The 21,814-nt window shown below is 39.4% G+C and overlaps 1 protein-coding gene across 12 annotated transcripts in view, besides 1 other annotated feature; it reads left to right on the forward strand.

The window, feature by feature from the left end:
* Positions 1,889-2,278: an enhancer, noted in NCBI's record as "active region_13364". NCBI's record gives its function as "activates an Ori minimal core promoter by ATAC-STARR-seq in GM12878 lymphoblastoid cells {active_cell/tissue: GM12878}" and the evidence as "EXISTENCE:reporter gene assay evidence [ECO:0000049][PMID:35858748]".
* Positions 2,158-21,814, forward strand: part of WDR7 (WD repeat domain 7) — a 385,248-nt gene continuing 365,591 nt past the window's right edge. For 10 of the 12 annotated variants that reach the window (XR_007066131.1, XR_007066132.1, XR_007066133.1 and 7 more), the window contains exon 1: positions 2,158-2,375. The gene's annotated coding sequence lies outside the window, so the exon portion shown is untranslated. Of the gene's footprint in view, positions 2,376-2,495; positions 2,598-21,814 lie in introns of those variants that run through there. The other 2 variants (NM_001382487.1, NM_001382485.1) reach the window with 1 other exon arrangement.

The following is a 21,814-nucleotide window of genomic DNA, read 5'->3' on the forward strand; positions in this document are numbered from 1 at the left end:
CCTAAAGTGCTGGGATTACAGGCGTGAGCCACTGTGCCCAGCCTGCTACTAAATTTTAAGGACAGAGTAGTACTTAAGTTTTAAAAATGCCACTAAAGCTGGGTGTGGTGGCTCACGCCTGTAATCCCAACACTTTGGGAGGCCGAGACAGGCCAATCTTGAGGCCAGGAGTTCGGGACCAGTCTGGCCAATAGAGTGAAACCCCATCTCTACTAAAAATAAAAAAAATTAGCCAGGTGTGATGGTGTGCACCTGCAATCCCAGCTACTCGGGAGGCCGAGGAAGGAGGATTGCGTGAACCCAGGAGGTGGATGTTGCAGTGAGCTGAGATGGTGCCATTGTACTCCAGCCTGGGTGACAGGGCAAGACTCCATCTCAAAAAATATATATATATATGCCTCTAAAATGGTGAAATTCCCGATTTTATCCTGTGGGTCTCATTTATGATTCTTTTGCAGTGATAACCATACATTTTTGGTTACAACAACAATGACGACATCTCACTTGTCTCCTTGCTTCCCTGTATTTCCCACCTGATTTACATGGCACATTGCTGCCAAATTAATATTTGTGGCTGGCCCATCTTAAGTGACCCCGATAAGTCACACTCTTGTATAATCCTTTCTCCTTGAGTACAGATAAAACCCGTGACTTACTTTAACCAATAATATATGGCAAAGGTGATGGCTGTCACTCCCTAATTTAGGTTATCATCTACATCCATTTCCATATCTATGTCCATGTCCATATCCATGGCTGTATCTATATCTGTGTGACTCCTTTCTTGTGCTCAGTAGAGAGATTCTCCTTGCTAGCTTTGAAGGAGTATGCTGCCATGTTGCGAGAGAGCCTTTAGTAAGGCCCATGTGGTAAGGAACTGTGGGTGGCTGCTAGGACCTGATGGCCACTTCCAGTTCAGAGCCAGTAAGAAGCCAGGGCCCCTAGTCAGACAGCCACAAGGAACTGAATGAGCTGACAGGAGTTTGGAATCAGATTCTTCCCTAGTTGAGCCTCCAGATGAGAATTGCAGTTTGGCTGACATCCACTTGTAGCCTTGTGAGAGCATGAGCACAGGACTCAGCTAACCTGTTCCTGACCTCCTTGCCCATGGAATGTGAGGCAATACATATGTGTTGCTTTAAGCCACTAAGACACTAAGACTGTGATAATTTGTTGTAAAGCAATTTTAAAAACCTGAATACCATGTGGTTAGGAAAAGTGCTACACTATTTATTAGTCAAAAGTCTTCAATTACTTTTCATTGTCTTTGGAATAAAGACCAAAAAGCTTATATGGCCACTAAAAGCCTCTTGTTATCTACATTATTCTATTTTTCCATGTTACTTTTTTATTACCTGGTCTAGGCCGAATGTGATGAAGTCTCTATCAACCCACAAGAGAGCTCCAGGGCATAGACTGCCTGTTAAAGGAGCCGCTCACGGAGCAGAAACAGCTAAGCCCTGATACCACATTTTCCCACTTCACCTACTTCACGTCCCTTGTATTTCTTCCAAATTTAACTTTCTATTTATTGCATATATTCATGTTTTACATTTCAATGCTGGTGACAAAGTTGTTTTCCTTTCCCAATTATTATTCCAAATCTGACCAATTTTTCTAGACTTCCATATGACCTAATGTGATTATCCTTCCTTACCCCAACCTAGAAATAATTCATCTCTTTTCTTCCTTGCTCCTTATTTGGCATTTCTCATCCTGCACTATACTATAGCTTATCTATCTTGGGGGACATTTGTCATTCTTTTTAGCTTTCCAGCATCCAACATACTTTCCAGTGTTTAGGGAATTCCCTACCTCTTGCATCTCAGTGGGAAGCAGTGTGATGGGGTCAGAAGTGTAAACTTGCGCAACATCCTGCTCCCAAGAAAGACGTGCACTTGCTACTTCATCCTTCGCTCCATCTTGGTCCTCCCAACTGGAGAGAGGACAGCCTAGACGAGACTTCCCACAACCAAGATGGCGGCCGTGCACTCCTTGCCCACAGCTGGCCTTTTCTCCACTTTCGGTCTCCATCGTAACGCGGCTGGCTCTCTCGGCGCCGGCTTAGGCCTTGCAAGTAGGGAAATGGTGAGTCTTTCCCGCCCCCTCATTTTTGCGACAGTTGCAGCGAAAGTCACGGCAGTTGGGGCTGGTGTCAGCTGATTTACTGCAGTGGCGGCGGCGGCGGCACCGGCACCTTGCAGTATCACTGGGGAGACGGCGGCTGTATAGCGCTTGCCGCCCCACGGATTATCCCAGCAGGATCTACGCACCCCGCATCCTCCGTAGTTCCGCCCTATCCTTGTCCTCCTTGGCTGGGGCGCCCACCGGCGGTCTGATAGGCTACATCGCGGCATGAGATGAAGCTGTGACAGGTAAGGGGGCTTTCAAGCTTCTCCATGGGAAACCACAGGGCGGGATGTTCCTGCACCGTGGAGGTCAGGGGTCAGGGGTCAAAGGTCACAAACCCGCTCTAGCCGGGGGCGGTGCTAGCTGTCAGATCGCTGCGGCTGCAAGCCTGCAGGTCGGGCCCAAAAGTAGGCGCCGTTACCAAGAGCGTGGGGGCCAGCCGGGGGTCTTTGTGGCTCCCTTGCCTGGTGAGTGATATTTGCTACTTGTGACAGTTGCTTTGGTCTTGAGGTGGGACTGCCTGGTTCCCAGGTGCAATCTAAACGGGATCAGGTGATTGGTGATGATCGTTGGTGGTTATTGACAGCAATTTTGGGCGATGTGCTTGCTTTTGGGGTTCATATAGTCTTTCCTTTCCTGTTGGTACTATTTTTGCCCATGCCCAAGGTACTGACACCACTGTTAGAATTTCATTTTTGAGATGCCATCTGCCAGTTCTTATCCCTTTGCCCTAGTACTTGTCTGAGCGGATGCCAGTCACTCCCATTCACTTAGTGATGGGTCCCAGCGTTCTGAAGCTATGTTTGAAGTCAGCACTACCCTAACTTTGATTCAAAAATTGCTGTTTTATGTTTTTTACCCACTTAGTATGTCACTTTTTGAGGCAGAATTTGCTGGGTTAGATAGTCTGAAACTAGGGAACCTACCGTCGCATGACAGGCTGCATTGATATTGTTGATGCTGCTGAATTTAGGGTTCGGTCAGTGGCAGCTATAGCTTCCTCTCACTGTAATATTTGCCATGAGACAAAAAAAGGCAAACTGACTCTTTCAGGTGTTTATGTCTTAGGATTTTATGGGCAAGGTTGCAGGAATTGCCTGTTGTATGAAAGAAATTAACTGAGTTTTTGACATTTTGTAAAACAAAAATTTTAGTTTGACTCTGCTTCTTGCTTTATAAACAAACTCGTGGCTGTATGAAGGTCAGCTTAAAAGTGAACATAATGTGTTGAAATGCCCTCATTATTACAAAGAATAAAAAACTGTCTAGTTCCATCCAGAACAATACATATTAGTTATTATAAATTGGGAAAACGAACCACTATAAATATAATTAATGCTTTATTATTAATGTCAATTAGGGATTATGGTAGAAAATTCATTTATTTTACTGCCAATCCTTATTTTAAGAGTGTTTCAGAGAAATACTTTAAGAGAAAAATGAGAGTATGCCCTTTATTTTTTCTTATTGCCACCTGTAACTAAATTTTAAAAGATCTCGGTGACTGGGTGAATCAAAGGGACTGGGCTTGGCTTGGTTTGAATATCCCTGTAAGAATTTAACTTAAATTTTAGGGGTAGTGACCCTTGTATCTTACAGTTTCCTTTTATCTTTGATATATGTTCCGTTTTGAAGTTAAAGGAAGTTGGGTGGTTTCTCCATGTAACACACTTAGCATCGAAAATCTTCAAAGTAGTGAGCTTGTTTTGTGTTTTCTTCGTGAGAGGGGTAGGATGACATTTAGCTTTAGTGGTGTGATGTTTATTAGATGTATGAGTCCTTAAAGTTCATTTTGGACCTCAGGTGCAGAGGATGGAGTTAATCTTACTCAATTCAATGGGCTGTTCAAGGCATCTCCCCTGCCTGCATTTTTCGTTCTTCTTTTTTTTTTTTAGATGGAGTTTCGCTCTTATTGCCCAGGCTGGAGTGCAGTGGCGTGATCTCAGCTCACTGCAACCTCCCCATCCCGGGCTCAAGCGATTCTCCTGCCTCAGCCTCCTGACTAGCTTGGGATTACAGACTGTGCCACCATGCCTGGCTAATTTTTGTATTTTTAGTACACATGGGGTTTCACCATGTTGGTCAGGCTGGTCTCGAACTCCTGACCTCAGGTGATCCACCAGCCTTGGCCTCCCAAAGTGCTGGGATTACAGGTGTGAGCCACCACATCCAGTCTCATTCATTGTTTTTTGTTTCTAATTCCCGCTGTTTTCTCTTGCTCATCAACCCATATGCAACCATTCTGTATGATGTGTATTCTTCTGTTTGTATGTGTTATTAAATGTATATTGTTCTGGGTGCCCACATTTTTAATTTATAGAGATGATATCGTGCAGTTTTTTTGTCTCACTATTATGTTTTGAAGATCTATTGCATTGCTGTTCTTTGCTTCCAAGTGCTGCACAATATTTCAGAATGTACATCTACTACAGTTTATCTGTCTGCTCTCCTATTTGTAGATACCCATGTTATTTTCATTTTCCTACCTCTACAGATAATACTATGATAAGCATACATTTTAGACCTCTGTGATACTTTCAGTGAGTTATAGATCCATATGTGATTCTGGATCATTTGGTTTTCATATATTTTATTGAAGCACCACCAGATGATGTTTAGAACAAGCAGCAATAGTCTATACACCTGCAGGAAGCTCGTGAGGGTTCCTTTATCTTTGTTTCCCCACAAATGCTTGGTTTTATTCAGTGCTCCAATTTTTCCAGACTAATAGATACAAAATTAAATCTCATTTTAAATTACATTTCATTATTTATTCAGATTCATTCACTACTAATGAATCTGAGCATTTCTTTTTTTTTCTGAGATGGAGTCTCACTCTTGCCAGGGTGGAGTGCAGTAGTGCGATCTTGGCTCACTGCCATCTCTGTCTCCCAGGTTCAAGCGATTCTCCTGCCTTAGCCTCCTGAGTAGCTGCAACTACAGGCACGCGCCACTACGCCCAGCTAATTTTTGTATTTTTAGAAGAGACGGAGTTTCACTATGTTGGCCAGGATGGTCTCGATCTCTTGACCTTGTGATCTGCCTGCCTCAGCCTCCCAAAGTGCTGGGATTACAGGCATGAGCCAGCGTGCCCTGCCGAATCTGAGTATTTCTTCATGTGTGTTTTATCTTTTTTAATTTTTTGTTTGTGAAATTGCCTGTTCATCCCTTCACCCATTTTTATTTTGGGGTTTCAGTTCTTTCTTGTTGATTTGCGGACATTTCTTGTATTCCATAGATACTAATCATTTAAGTATTACAAGTGTATCTGTTCCTAATCTGTCATTTGTCTGTAATCTTTCTCATGATGTTCTTCATTGAACAGAAATCTTATATTTTGATATAATCAAATTAAAAAATCTTTTGGCTATATGGTTGTATTTTGGAGGTTTTGTTTAAGAAATCTTTCCCCAGTGCTGTGCCACAAAGTTACTCTGCTATGTTATGTACTGCTAATTCATAGTTTTCTTTTAAACTTATTGGTCTTTAATACATGCAGAGTTTAACTTTTTATGTGTCACAAGTTTGTGATCCAGTTTATTTTCCATGTACTGTGCCAGTTTTCCTGGCATCTTTCTTCCCTTTTCCCATAGATATGGTGTCACACTGTGTATTAAGTGCTCATATATACTCTGAATATTGAGTCCTTTCCTTTGGTTTGTCTGTTCTTGCTCTAACACTATACTGTTTTAACTCTATGGTTTTGTAGTAGTATGTTTTTTCCTCCTATATAAATAACTCTTCCCATTTATTTTGTTTTAACTTTATTTTGATATAATTATAGGTTCATAGGAAGTTGCACAAATAGTAAAGAGAGGTCTGGTTTCCTCCAGTGGTTACATTTTATGCAGCTTCACCCAAGGAACTTCCCTCAATAGTTACAATTTATACCACTGTAGTACAGTATCAAAACCAATAAATTGATTTTGTACAATGCCTGTGTATAGTTCTGTGCCATTTTATCACCTGTGTGGATTCCTGCAACTACCTCTGCAATCAAGATACAGAGCTAGGCTGATGTGGTTGACCATGCCCGTAGTCCCAGCACTTTGGGAGGCTGAGGTAGGCAGATTGCTTGAGCCCAGGAGTTTGAGACCAGCAACATGTCAAAACCCCGTCTCTGGCAAAAAATACGAAAATTAGTCTGGTGTGGTTGTGCATGCCTGTAGTCCCAGCTACTTGGGGGGCTGAGGTGGGAGGATCACCTAAGCCTGGGAAGGTTGAAGCTGCAGTGAGCTGTGATTATGCCACTGCACTCTAGCCTGGGACAGAGTAAGACCCTGTCTCAAAAAAAAAAAAAAAAAAAGAGGAAGAAGATATGGAACTATTCTATCACTACAAAGATTTTCTTCATGTTACCTCTTTCTAGTTTCATCCACCTCCCTTACCCTCACCATCCCTTAATCAGTTTAATCAGTTTCTATCTCTATAATTTTGTCATTACCAGAGTGCTATATAAATGGAATCCTATAGCATGTAATCTTTTGAAATTGAGATTCATCCAAATTGTTGAATGAGACAGTTCTTGAGATTCATCAACATTGTTGAATGAGACAGTTCTTGAGGTTCATCCAAATTGTTGCATTTATCAATAGTTTGTACTTCTTAATTGTTGAGTAGTATTCCATGGTACGTATGTATCCAAGTTTAACCATTCACCTGCATATCTGGGCTGTTTTTAATTTTTGGCTGTTACAGATAAAGCTGCTGTGAACATTCTTGTACAGTTTTGTGTGTGTGTGTGCGTATGGATTTAAATTTTCATTTTTTGGGGGATAAATGCCCAGGGACATGGTTGCTGGATGGTATGGTAAGTGTATGTTTAGTTTTTGAAGTAACTCCCAAAGTGTTTTCTGGAGTGGTTGTACCATTTTACATTTCTACCAGGAATGTATGAGAGATTGCATTTCTTTGCATCGTCTTCCACTAGCATTTGATACTGTCACTGTTTTTTTTTTTTTTTTTGGAGATGGAGTCTTGCTCTGTCACCCAGGCTGGAGTGCAGTGGCGCAATCTTGGCTCAGTGCAACCTCCGCCTCCCAGATTCAAGCAATTCTCCTGCCTCAGCCTCCCGAGTAGCTGGGACTACAAGCGCATGCCACCACACCTAGTTAATTTTTTGCATTTTAGTAGAGATGGGGTTTTACCATGTTGCCCAAGCTGGTCTCGAACTCCTGAGCTCAGGCAATCTGCCCGCCTCAGCCTCCCAAAGTGCTAGGATTATAGATGTGAGCCACTGCGCCCGGCCACTATTTTTTTTTTTTTTAACTGTTCTGATGTGTGATGATATCTCAGTGTGGTCTTAATTTGCATTTCCCAAATTAGCTAGTGATGTTAAATATCTGGTAGAGCACTTTCTCTCATCTTTGCCCATTTTCAAAGTTTGGCTCAGCTATTTATGTATTTTTATTCTTTCCTATGTATTTTAGAGTTAGTTTGAGTTTCTAAAAACAATACCAGTAGAACTTTGACTTACAGATTTATTTTGAGGAAAATTGATATCTTTATAATATTAGGACATTTTATCTGAGAACATGGAATGGTCTTTCACTTATGACTTTGAGTAAAATATTGTAGTTTATAAAAATACTGTGAATGGTATACTATTTTTTAAGTAGATTAGTGCTGATACAAGAAAATGCTATTGATTTTCATATATTGATAATCTACCTTTGTCTTTTTGTGTTCTACTAGACAGAAATCAAAATTCATAGTGTAAATCTTGAAGTAATTTTAGTGCGTGTAGAGTGAGGCCTGGAACTATGTAGTGCCTTTATTCCTGGGTTTATCTGTTACATCTCCCTGTGACAGTTTTTTAATTTGTTGGGACTTTTTTTTTTTTTTTAGATGGAGTCTCACTCTGTTGCCCAGGCTGGAGTGCAGTGGTGTGATCTCAGCTCACTGCAACCTCCAACTCCCAAGTTCAAGCGTTTCTCCTGCCTCAGCCTCCCTAGTAGCTGGGATTACAGGTGCCCGCCAGGACACCCGGCCAATTTTTGTATTTTTAGTAGAGATGGGGTTTCACCAGGTTGGTCTCAAACTCCTGACCTCAGGTTATCCTCCCACCTAGGCCTCCTGAAGTGCTGGGATTACAGGCGTGAGCCACCATGCCTGGCAATTAAATTATGGAGTTAGTGAGGTTTGTAGGTTCTGTTCTCATTTTTGTCCATTTAATTCATGCACTTTTTGAAGAATTAATAGTCTTACATATGTGCATGCCATTGATCATAGGCAAAATCAGCTGAGAGCTATGGATAGCTCAGTGAAATTCTGCCATCAATAAGAGGACATGTTCTCACTGACAGGTACTATGATAGTAATGTTAACTTACAATTTGAATTCCATCCATATGGTTCGTTTGTCTTTGTCTGTATCTGATTCTTAAAGCTGCTTTGCTGAATACAAAAGAACACAAACAATTATGTTGGAAGAAGAAATCCTACATCATGACTGCATTCAGAAAGTCCTTGTGAGTCCAAGGAAATTTTTACTTCCTTTCTATTAAGGAACATATATATTACATTCATGAAGTATTTACTATTTTAAATAAAATTGGATTTTTTTTCAAACTATGTTGGTGACGTTTAATGAAATTACAGGGGTTTTTTTTTTTGGCTGTTGATTACTTGAGTTAGTGGGAGCCATAAAATGTTGGAACAACGAATGTTAGGGCACTGGTCAGTTTAGGGGAGGGAAGATTTCTGAAGTGCTAAGCGTTATTCTGTAGGCTCTTTAAAATATAACATTTCTGGAGATATGTGACTTTGTTTTTTTGTTTTGTTTTGTTTTTGACACAGAATCTCGCTCTGTCGCCCAGGCTAGAGTGCAGTGGTATGATCTCGGCTCACTGCAACCTCTGCCTCCCCGGTTCAAGCAATTTTTCTGCCTCAGCCTCCCAAGTAGCTGGGATTACAGGTGTGCACCACCACACCCAACTAATTTTTGTATTTTTATTAGAGACAGGGTTTCACCATGTTGGCCTGGCTGGTCTCAAACTCCTGACCTCAAGTGATCTGCCTGCCTCGGCCTCCCAAAGTACTGGAATTAGTCATGAGCCACTGCGCCCAGCCTGGAAATACATGACTTTGAAAATGCAGTCTCCCATTCAGCTTAGCAGTTGTAATTTATGACCCTACAAGCTCACTGAAGATAGTTTTTTGCACATCATGTTTCTCTCTGAATGTTGGTAGTTGGTATATGTCAGTGATAACAGACTGATAGAGTGAGCCAGTTACCTTCTGTTTTCACATTCAAGTTTATTTCACATTTAAGCTATCTTCCTTAAAGGCTCTTCTTTTTTCTAAATGTTTCAAATACAAATAAACAGTATAAACTTCCATTAGTTGGAGCAAAAAATTCACACGAATGAAATATCACTGTACTTACTTACTTTTTTTTAACGACAGAGTCTCACTCTGTTGCTCAGACTGGAGTGCAGTGGCATGATCTTGGCTCACTGCAACCTCCACTTCCTGGGTTCAAGCGATTCTCCTGCCCCAGCCTCCTGAGTAGCTGGGACTACAGGCGTGCACCACTGTGCCCAGCTAATTTTTGTATTTTTTTTTTAGTAGAGATGGGGTTTCACCATGTTGGCCAGGCTGGTCTTGAACTCCTGATCTTGTGATCTGCCAGCTTTGGCCTCCCAAAGTGCTGGGATTATAGGCTTGAGCCACCGCGCCCGGCCCCCTGTACTTACTTTTAAGAAACAGTGTTGTGATTAATTACTAGGCCTTAGTGACTGTAGTAGTGATTATGTCAGCTAATTTGCTTCATAGGCCCTAAGATATATTTTGCTGTGTATATGTCACGATAGACTAAAAGAGGCAGGAGCGTAGGTAAAACCTGTAGCTGGGGAAAAAAACAATATGTTAATGACATTTTGATTAAGGAGGCTTGTATTAATTGTTGACATTATTATAGAAGAACTAGTTGACAAGAAACTGCCCTGTGAAATCCAAAACATATAAAATCGGGATATACTTTAATTTGCTGATGGGTGCAACTTTACTTAAACCAACGCAAACATATTTCATTCACTAGTTTGTTTATTTATTCAAGTATTTGGATTCCTTCTATGTGGAAGGAATTTTAGGCACTGGGAATACAATAGAGAAGAAACCAAACACAGATCTTTACCATCATAGAACATACACCAGGAGAGGCAGATGATAAATAAATAAAACATATGGTATGTTAAATGATTGTAAGTGTTTAGTTTGAGTGGTAGATTTTGCAATTTATGATGGTCAGGAAACTCTTCACTAAAAAGGTAATATTTTATAGAGATTTGAAGAGGGCAAAGGAGTGTGCCAGAAGGAATCTGGGGTGGGGGACACTGTTCTGAGGTAAGATTCTGTTTAGTATCTTTGAGCAACACCAATGAATCAGAGCAGATGGAAAAGAGTAAGCAAGGGAGAGAACAACCACCTCACTCATATAGGATAGGCAGTTGTATGTAGAGTTGGCTTTTGCTATGTGTGAGACAGGAAGCCATTGGAAGATTTTGAGATGTGATCACAGCATGATTTTTTTTTTTAATAGTGTCACTCTATATGCTGTGTTGAGACTGCAGGGGAGCAAAGATGGAAACAGGGAGACCAGTTAGAGGGCTGTTGTGTTATCCCTGATGGAAGATGCTGATTGAGAATAGGGTGGTTGTAGTGAAAGTGTTGAGATGTTGCAGGATTCTGGATATGATTTGAAGGTATAGCCAGTGGAGTTTACTGATGGATTGGGATGTGGAATGTGTATGTGTGAGAGAGTAATAGAGTAACTAAAGATGATTCTAGGATTTTGGTCTGTGTAGCTATAAAACTGGAGTTGCCAATAACTAAGATGGGTAGACTGTGGGAGGGGCACCATTGAGGAATGATCAGGGGCTCACTTTTGGACATGCCAAGTTTGAGAAACTTATTAGCTATCCAAAAGGAGATGTTGAGTAGGAAGCTGGACATACTGATTTGGATTTCAGAAAAGCATCCCACACAATAAACTGGGGAACTGTCAAAATCTGCAATCCAAAATGCTCCAAAATCCAAAACTCTTGAGCATAAACATGACACTCCAAAGAAATGCTCATTGGAGCATTTTGCATTTTAGATTTTTCAGATTAGAGATGCTCAACCTGTAAGTATAATACAAATATCCCCAAATTTGAAAAAAATCCAAAATCTAAAACACTTCTGATCCCAAGTGTTTCAGATAAAGGATACTCAACCTATAGATGGTTTAAAGCAATGAGGCTTGATGAGATCATTGAGGGAGGGAGTGTTGCCAGAGAAGAGAAGTCTAAGGACTAAGTTGTGGGAATGCCAATATTTAAAGGTTAAAAAAAAAAAAAAAGAAAGAAAAGAAAGAAAGGAGACTAAAGCTAGAGAAGAAGAAGGAAAGTCAGGAAAAAGTGAAGACTTTGAGGCCAGGTAAAGAAGTATTTATTTCAAAGACGGAATATGAACTATGTCAAATTGCTGGTAGGTCAAGTAAGATAAGGGTTAGAACTTGATAATGGATTTAACAGTGGGGAGGTCATTGGTGACCTTGTCAAGGGCAGTTTTTGTGACAGGCAGAGCAGGAGGAGGGTAATGTTACAAATGAGAAGTTTAACTTGAGACATCACATATTTCCTCAGAGTTTAAAATGGAAATGGAGAGCTGGGTTCCTCTCTAGTTAGTGTGACTTTCATACCTTCACAGTTGCCCATCTTATTTTAGTGATTCCAAGACTAATGTGACAATTCAGCTTCAAATTTGGGGAAGCATGTTTGTTTCTTCTTTTTCTGTTTAATTCAATTTATATACAACGAGAAAGTTCAGTGCTCAGTTTAGACTTTTGATGGCAACCTAAGGGAAGAAATTGGAATGACTGGAGATGCAAATGAGATTAGAGGTGGGTGGCAGGAGAAAGTCGAAGTTGGTTCAACCAAATGGAATTTCCTTTAAAAAGTAAGGTCTTGGTGGGCATAATGGGCTTTTAGCTTAATCAGTAACTCTTGAAATTGCTGTAGGTTGGTGATGGATACAGCATAAGCAGAAGAGTTCATTCATTATAATATCACCTGCAGAAATTTAAAACATGATTTATATGCCTCAGCATCTATGAATCACTTTTAAAATGTGATTTATTTTTGACCAGATAGTTCTGCAGTTCTTCAAAATCTGTCTCTCATGCACTCAGGGCTGTTTAGCAATAAGAAATAAGTGTAGTCTCCTGTTGCCATCTGCTCATTCCACATGTTCCTTTGAAACCGAACACTGGGGCTTCCTTTAACCAAGCAGTCCTAAAGTGTCAGGCTCATTGAGAGTACAGTATATTTCTTAACCACCCAAATAAGAAAGTATAATCTTGTCAGCTGCTTAAGTGTTCAGAAGGTTGTGTCCCTTACAGCCCTTAAATTCTGGAAACACTTTGTTATAAGGAAGCAGCCGAGTAGTTTCTTTAGTGTGTTTTTATGACCTAGCTGTTTCATAGTAGTATAATAAACAGAGTCTTTATTATCTGCTTCAGGTTTGTTTTCCAAGTCTTCAATTGATTGGTGGTAAATGCACAAGCACACACACACACACAAAATACATCATCTTAATCATCATGTCCTCATCACATCATACTGTGATCTTGACTTGGGTACACTCTTTTGACAAATGACATAGGAATGTTCTCTGAGAATTTGAATAAACCTTTACAAACTTCTCATTCTTCTTTCACTGCAGCTGTGGCAAATACATTTAGCTGTTTAGGGTTTAGTACTTGCTTCTCATATTCCCCATCGGTAGGTGGGTAGCTAAGGCCTGTGCCAATTCATGTATGCGCATCCTCGTGAGAGAAAATTTGAGTTTGTTTTTGTCTGCAAGTCACAGGGGGCCTGCCTGGGACACAAGAAGTACATAGACTGAGAACATATTGACTATCCTGTGAAAACACCCTGTTGCTAGGATAGAAATACGTCCTGCTTTTGCATTTGAGAGCTAGACAAACAGTGTGGAGGAATTAACATTGATCTGATACTAGTTTGTATATAATCTTAACTGTTTATAGCTTTTAGAAATCATGTGTGCTACCAATATTACATGGGATAGTGTGAAACAGGATGGTCTTATCAGAATATCGCCCCATAGGTCATTGATAGTTTCAAAAGGAAAAACAAAAACAGTAGCAGTGAAAGTAATCTGGTAGTCACCATCTGAATCAAATGGTCGAAGGTAGCATTGTTGCTCATAGACAATGTGATGTTGTGTGCTTCCTGAGGTGGTGCAGTGTGAAGTGTACATCAACATCTATCGAGTATTCTTGCCCACAACGTTCACTTGAGGCAAACGTTAGATCCAATTTCGTTTGTAGTAAAAACAGGTGATGGAGGAACAGGTGTAGTAAAAACAGGTGATGGAGGAACAAGGAAGAAGTTAAATGATGTCATAAAAAACAATCAGAAAGGAACAAGTTAAATGATATCATAAAAAACAATCAGAAAAATCTTCAGATATGGAACATTCTACAAACAATTGGTTTGGCTTCTTAAAATTAGTATTAAAAAAAATAAGGTGGGATCATTCTAGAACTAAAGAGACATAACAGCTTTTTTAGCCTGTTCAGGCTGCCATACAAAATACTACAAACTGAGTGGCTTAAACAACAGAATTTTATTTTCCCACAGTCCTGGAGGCTAGAAGTGCCCCAGATCAAGGTCAGAAGGTTTATTTTCTGTGAGGGCTCTCTTCCTGGCTTGCAGATGGCTGCCCTCTCACTGCGTCCTCACAGTGGTGGAGAGGGAGAGAGCTTTTGTGTCTCTTACCCTTCTTACAAGGACACCAGCCCTATCACAGTAGTGTCTTGCTCTTATGACCACATTTAACCTTTATCACCTTCTCACAGGCCTGACCTCCAAATACACAAATACACTGGGGGTTAGGGCTTCAACATATGCGTTTTGGGAGGACATACCATTCAGTCCATAACAACAACCAAATGCAGTGCATAAAACTTGAGTATTTTGTTTACAGGTCTGAGGGAAAACATTATAAAAAGCATTTTGTAGATTATTGAAGTGATTTGAATATGGACTAGTTTGTAGATGCTATTAGAGAATGATTATGGTGTTGATAATAGTGAGTGTGATAATGGTATTGTGTTTATGAAGGAGAATGCCCTTATTTTTAAGTTCTGTCTTTAAAAGCATTTAGGGGTGAATCATCATGGTATGTATAAGTTACTTTCAAGTGGTTCTACACACACAAAATATGTACACATATAGATGCACAGACTTTTTAAAAACACACATATATGCACAGCATATATACACCACATATATGCACAGCATATATACATATATATATGCACAGCATATATACATATATATATGCACAGCATATATGTAGATATACCACATTGCCAAGGGAAATATGACACGATATTATTTTTTGAGTGATTGTTATATTCTTCTTTGAACTTTTGTATATTTGAGATTTTTCATAATAAAAATTTGGGAGGAATCACACGGAGAAAGGTAATTTCATTAAAAAAATTTTAAAGTCATATCAAATTAAAAAAAAACAACAACAACATGAGGTAACAGGGTTAAGTCTTTGGAATTTTTCTTAGGGCTTTTTGGGCCTTCACGTGTCTAGGTAGAGGAAAGATGAGAAAATAGGAAGAAGATAATGGGGACAGTCTGCTGTACCAGAAAAAAAGAGAGTGCATTGCAAAAAATCAGCAATGTCACACTAGCAGCTATAAAGTATATATAAGATAATTGGACTTAGGAAGAATAGGTATCAACAATCGATTAATGTCAAAGCATCCTCTTTTCTCACTTGTCTTATAAGGTATTGCTTGTCTCTGCCATATTGGAGAGCTCTGCCCTGGAGTGTCATTTTAGGATTGTTGACCCCTTCATGTAGTGGGAGATCTTGAGTGTCCTTAAATTAAGTCTTTTTGAGGGCGCAGACTAGAGTACATGAGGCCTTTATACTAAGGAAATGGAAGCACCAAGTTAAAGACCACAGATTTCAAAATGCTAATTGTAATGAGAGGGAGAGAGATTGTTAGGGTTACAAGTAGAGGCCAGTGAAGGTATTTGGATAAAAATGAAATGTAGACATGTTTGAAGGGCAAAGGTCAACTTATAAAATAGATTGAAATGGTAGACGGTGAGAACATAATTAAAGGAGGAAGATTTTTGCAGAGTTCAGAAGTTTTTTTTTTTCTCCTTTTTTTTTTTTTTTAAGAGACATTTTTCCTCAAAAGAGTTAAATTTGAGTTGTACATGAAACCCTTAATACAGCCCTTGGCACATAGTGAGGGCTTAATAAATGCTAGTTATTGTTATTCTCTGTTTATTCATTCAATAAATACATATTGACCCCTAGTAAAAGTCAGCGTTTTAGGTGCAGATATGCAGCTTACTTGATAATGCTTAGATAACAAAGGTGCTAGATTTATAGATTTTATCCTTGAGAAACATAGGCTGTACAAATGAATGAGTGGTATGCATCAGGCATTTGGAAGGTGTAGTGAAAATAGTAGTAGGAGTAGTAAATCATGTGGCTTAGGACAGGGCACTCACAGTGGAAGGGAGCTAGCATTTGAAAATATTATAGGCTAAAGATAAATACTTGTTAAAGTTAAATGTATGTTCAGAACGCCATGTTGTGTGCATATGTACAACTTTAAAACAAAAGAACTTGGTGTGGCTGGGCATGGTGGCTCATGGCTGTAATCCCAGCACCTTGGGAGGTGAGGCGGGTGGATCACCTGAGGTCAGGAGTTTGAGATCAGCCTGGCCAACATGGCAAAACCCCGTCTCTGCTAAAAATACAAAAATTAGTTAGGACTAGTAGCGGGCGCCTGTAATCCCAGCTACTCAGGAGGCTGGGGCAGGAGAATCCCTTGAATCTGGGAGGCAGAGGTTGCAATGAGCCGAGATTGCACCACTGCACTCCCGCCTGGGTGACAAGAGTAAAACTCCATCTAAAAAAAAAAAAAAAAGAAGAAGAAGAAGAACTTGGTGTAGGTGTATCTAGGCCACTTTATTTAACTGTATTATAATGGAAAACACAATGATGGGGCAAAAACAAACAAACAAACAAAAAACCCAAGAATTTATCTTGAGAATTAGGAATTCTACTCAGCCCAGTCTCCTCTTCCTAGTCTTCCTCTTAAAAGGCAGTCATATTACTGATTTTTTTTGTACGTTATCATTTCAGAATTATTCAAAGTGTGTGTGTACCCACTGTATATTTTGGTGTTTGTTTTATATCTCATACTGCAGTGTTCCATTATAAAGCTCTATCATAATTTATTTAATCCCTGATTTGTGGACATTGAAGTTCTTTCCAGGTACCCTTTAAAAATTATAGACATTTTCAAATATATAAAAGTAGAAAGAACAGTATAATGCACACTCTTGCACTAAAAAGAGCTTCGATACTTACTTTCACAGTTTGAGTTCCCTGGTGAGCGGACTCTGAGATGGAGACTCAGGCTTATTAGGGAGTGCTCTTGGGATCAACACCCAGGGAAAGGAAATAGTTTGGCCCTGGGTTAAAGTTGAGTCGTGATGAGTCTCAGAGGAGTCTCAGTTGACCCTGGGGGAAGTTCTGAAGATGGGATGACCCTTCAGTGATATCCTGATTTGTGAGGGGGTCTGGCCTTTATATTTCCATATTGATCCGTCACTGGATGTGGGCTGTCCCATGGGAAGGGTACAAGAGCTTGGACAAGCCATCTCTCTTGGGCTGAGGCAATCCTTAGTGGTGCTGACAACCTGGGCTTGTCTGCTGGGAGCTCTCTCACCAGTTGGGTCCTTCCTTCCTGAAGGAAGATTTGGGCACATAGCATCCATCATACTTAGGATACTATTTCATCTTCATTCCTTCGTCTTTTTTTTTTTTTTTTTTTGAGCCGCAGTTTCACTCTTGTTGCCCAGGCTGGAGTGCAACGGCACAATCTTGGCTCACTGCAACCTCCGTCTCCCGGGTTCAAGCGATTCTCCTGCCTTAGCCTTTCTAGTAGCTGGGATTACAGGCATGCGCCACCATGCCCAGCTAATTTTTTATTTTTAGTAGAGACGGGGTTTCTCCATTTGGTCAGGCTGGTCTCAAACTCCCAACCTCAGGTGATCCACCCACTTTGGCCTCCCAAAGTGCTGGGATTACAGGCATGAGCCACTGCGCCCGGCCTCATCTTCATTCCTTCTAACACCACTTAGCCCATATTCTCTTTCCTCTCCCAGGAGCCACTGATCACAGACATCATATGATTTTATCTGTAAACACTGCAGTTCCATTTATCTTTTAATGAGTACTGTGTTTTGGCAAAATCTTGATTAACCAGAATGCCTGGATAATGAAGCTTTCTGATAAATGGAATTTTGTGGTAAATGAAGACAATATAGGAGAGTGAAAAGTGTTGCATTAGGACCCTGGAGATCTGTGTTTGCTTTTGAGCTCTGAGATCAGTTTGATGTGTGATCTTGAGAGAGTTGCTAACAGACCTAAATATCCACCCAAATAAAAAATCCCCTGGATGGTAACCAGCTATACTCTCCATTCTGGATTGGGAAACCAGGCTATTTTTTTTTTTTTTTGTCAATTACAAAAGCGTTTCTTTTTTAAATGCTTAAATATAAAAAATAAAAGCAAAACAGCAGGAGACAGAGCGTTATTTCATAAACTTTTGAAATGACTTGGTTTGGCAAAAGCTCATTGCTTTTTTACCATTCAGAACAGTTTTGTTGAGGTCTCTGGTATCATTTTATGAAAATACTTTCTGAGTTACAATTTTTTAGAGACCAGATTCCTCTTTAGCGTCATTGCACTCTCTTTCCTTCCTCTGCCTCACTATGCTTCCCTCCTACCTCTTTCCTTACCACCCAGTTTGGAAAGCAATAGTCTTCTTGCCTGTGGCCTTACGTATTTCGCCAAACCCCATGACTTATTGTTCTTCCTCTGTAATGTCTCCTATTTTTCTTTCAGTACTCTAACTTTAGCTAAGCTTCTTCTCACTTAGCACCCAGGCTTTTTGCAGTAGCATCATATTTGGTTTATCTGTCTTTAGTTGTTTCTCTGTGGTAATCCAACCCTCATACTATCTCAAAAAGTTTGAGCATGTTGCTTCTCTATGTAGATATCTGCTTATTGGACCATTAAGTATCTTTACAATGTGGCCCAACTGAAGATCAGTGTGGAACCTTGTATTTTCTCTCATCCCCAAACCTAGAGTTAATAAATTATGGTTAAGCATAGAGTAATTTATCTTCCATGATGGAATCTAAATTGTCGATACTTCCCTAGGCATCAGTATTGTAATAATAATGCCCATCCTTTACTTAGAAAGCTTTCAGTATTTAAAACTGCTTTTTCTTTTCTTTTATCCTCAAAGTACCTTTGTGTGAAACTTGCATCAGAATCCATGTTGCATCCTGATCACCTTGGTGTGTTGAAAATCAAGTCTTATCTATTATATCTTTAGCTCTCATATCAGTATTATTATTAGTACTATTCTCACCATGAACACCCTTCACCATATATTTATTAAAGATGTCCTATGTGGTAGATGTTGTGCTAAGCATCATTTGGTAGTGAGTACACAGAGTGTGCATCTTGTAACCAGGGAGCTTGAAAGAGTGGTGGTGGAGACAGCCATTAACAGAGACGCCCCAGAAATAAGTAATAAGAGATTGTGATAAATTTAAGCACCACCATTTCTCTTCTGCAGAACTCCAGTAGCCTCATTGGTCTTCAGGTCCTCAGTTTTATCCCTCTCTGTTATATCACAGCTTGAGTGATCTTTCTGAAAAGCAATGTCAGATTTAAAGCACTTTACCTGCTTCCCTTTGCTGTCAAATTAAAGTCCAAACTCTTGAAAATGTCTTACCAAGAAGCCCCTTGTGATCTGATGCATGTTGGCTATTGGTTGTTTTTTCACCATTCTGCCTTTTTACTTTAAATGTCAGCCCTACTATTTACTGTTTAGAAAGAATTGAGATTACACCTCTGGCCCTTAGAACATGTGATTACCTGAGCCTATTCCGGTTAATTCCTACTCATTCTAGTCATCATTTCTTCTAGGAATCCTTCCTGGACCCATTGAAGTCTAGGTTAGGGAATCCATCTTTTGTGTTTCCATATGTCTTGAGACTTCTCTCATGCTCTGTGGTAATTGTTTACATGTATGTAAGCCCCACTGGATAGCTGAATTGTGTCTATTTTATTTATTATTGTAATACTTATACCTACCATGGCATTGGCATGAACTAGAAACCTGAGAAATGCTGCTCTAAAATGTATACTAATTATTAGGAGTTTGGAATTTTATTTGAAAGCCATTTTAGTTTTGGGATGGAAGTTGGTAGTATTATTTCTAATAAAGTAATGCAGAACTAAATTGTTATATTTGCATTGCACAATTGCACAATTTGAGTTGTTTGACAAGCATACACAGTAATACTTTTATACTTTGGCAGAAAGTCAATGAAAGGTATTAACCTGTTGGAAAGTCCAACCTTATTGAATATTAAGTACTGGAAAAAGCCTGTAGATGTGTAAGCAGAATGTGAAGAAGTAGCAAAATCTGTGTTTTTTTTTTTTTTAAATAATATTTACTGAGCATCTGCCATGTGCTAGGTATTGTACTAGTTGCATTACATATATGGTCGCTTGATCTTATGACATCTTTCTGAGAGGAGGAGAATATTATTATCCATCTTTTACAGATGGGGAAACTGAGACCTAGAGAGATAACTTTGTCAAGATCACATAGAAGGGCCAGGATTTGAATATAGGTCATCTGATTGTAGGCCCAGTGTTCTTTCAGTTATTATTTTTGTTGCTCTTGTTGACTGGAGTATAGTATTTTAAATTATTTCTATACAGAGCTGAGAAATAAGTGAAATTAGGGGAAATAAAGCAATACCTGAAATTAATCAAAAGAGATGACTGAAATTTTATCTCTAAGATGCCTGTTTCCTTATGATTTGTTAACTTAAAAATGATTCAATATTAATTTTAATAACAATGAGAAAACTAAGCCTCAGAAGTGAGATATCATCAAAGACTGCATAACTAGTGACAAAATGAGAAGTAGAATCTAGAATTACTGATATTTGTTGGCTCCAGAGCTTTATCTTTTAAACATTTCAATTGAATAAGCAGTCTCTAAATGTAACTTTAAGCCAGATTTTGATACAAACATAAATGAAAACTCAATGTTCCTAATATTATTTTGTTTTTAGAAGCATCTAGTCTAAGAACATATCAATTTGTAAGATCATGTTGAGATCTGAAAGATAGCATATGCCCTCAATGTACTAGTTGCAAAATCTGAATATATTATATATATAATATTTTGGAGAATTAGTAAGGTAATTTTATTTGAGAGTTTCTATTAAAGTTAACAGATTATTCTAGTCATTTGTTCAATCACTTTTGCTTTTGGCACTTTCCATAAAAATATAATTTTTTTTATCCCAATAAATCCTGTCCTGTGACTTGCTTACTTCCACTTAATATAAAGCTTTTGGAACATATTGAAGTTTTTTGCTACAATAGGTGATAATGTTGGGAACGTTAAGCATGGTTTATTAACTAATACATAGACTGGTTGAATGCTGATGGCTGAAAAACTGCATGCTCTGGATTTACATTGCCCTTTTTTCCCCTTAAAAAACTTCCTTGTGTTGGCAGTTTAGTGTGTCTTGGCTCATCCGTTATTCATTTTAAAGAAATTCAAACTTAGATTCCTGTGATCTACCTGATTAAATGGTTAGGTCCTGGCTAATTTGCCCTTTTTTTTGTTTTTGTTTTGATCAGTTGCTTAGAACTAGGTTTATGTGGTTGCCAATTCGCTGGTAGTCCTTTCTAGAAGTATTTGATTGTCATATACTATTCTATCATCATAAGCGATGTTATCCTCTATTTCACATTATTTCATTAGTGCTTCTGGTGGCTTTTCTGAAGTTTCACTTTTATTAGGTTTTTAAGATATTAGAAAAAAATGTTTTGGGCCATTTAGTACCCTATACTCCGTAGTCCTGAATCTGTTTGCATTCTCTTTAAGCCAGGCAGTATGTACTGAGTACGAGTCGCCAACTAGCTAGAGAAATGGTGTTCTTTCCAGGTCTCACCACGTTGGATTCAGTGTTTAGTACTTATTTACTTGAGAGAAATCTTTGGTGATATAAATTATTATTTTATTTTATTTTATTTTTGAGATGAACTCTTGCTCTGTTGCCAGGCTGGAATGCAGTGGCGCGATCTCGGCTCACTGCAACCTCTGCCTCCCGGGTTCAAGTGATTCTCCTGCCTTAGCCTCCTAAGTAGCTGGGACTACAGGCACCCACCACCTCGCCTGGCTAATGTTTGTATTTTTAGCAGGGACGGGGTTTCACCATGTTGGCCAGGCTGGTCTTGAACTCTTGACCTCAAGTGATCTGCCGACCTTGGCCTCCCAAAGTGCTGGGATTACAGATGTGAGCCACCGCACCTGGCCATCGCCTCATTTTGTCTTTAATGATTATACCTTTTGATTGGCCATCTGTCAGGCTATAGGTGACTTCTAGTGTCTAATGAGATCTGAGAGTACTCTCTTCTATGCAGCTTTCTTTGACTATTCCAGTCTTCTTTTTCTAACTTCTCTGAACTCCTGTTATCTAGGTCTTTGACCACAGTTTTTAACCCCTAAATATTGTTTTGCC

This window comes from Homo sapiens, chromosome 18 (assembly GCF_000001405.40).
Source record: "Homo sapiens chromosome 18, GRCh38.p14 Primary Assembly".
Taxonomy (NCBI): Eukaryota; Metazoa; Chordata; class Mammalia; order Primates; family Hominidae; genus Homo; species Homo sapiens.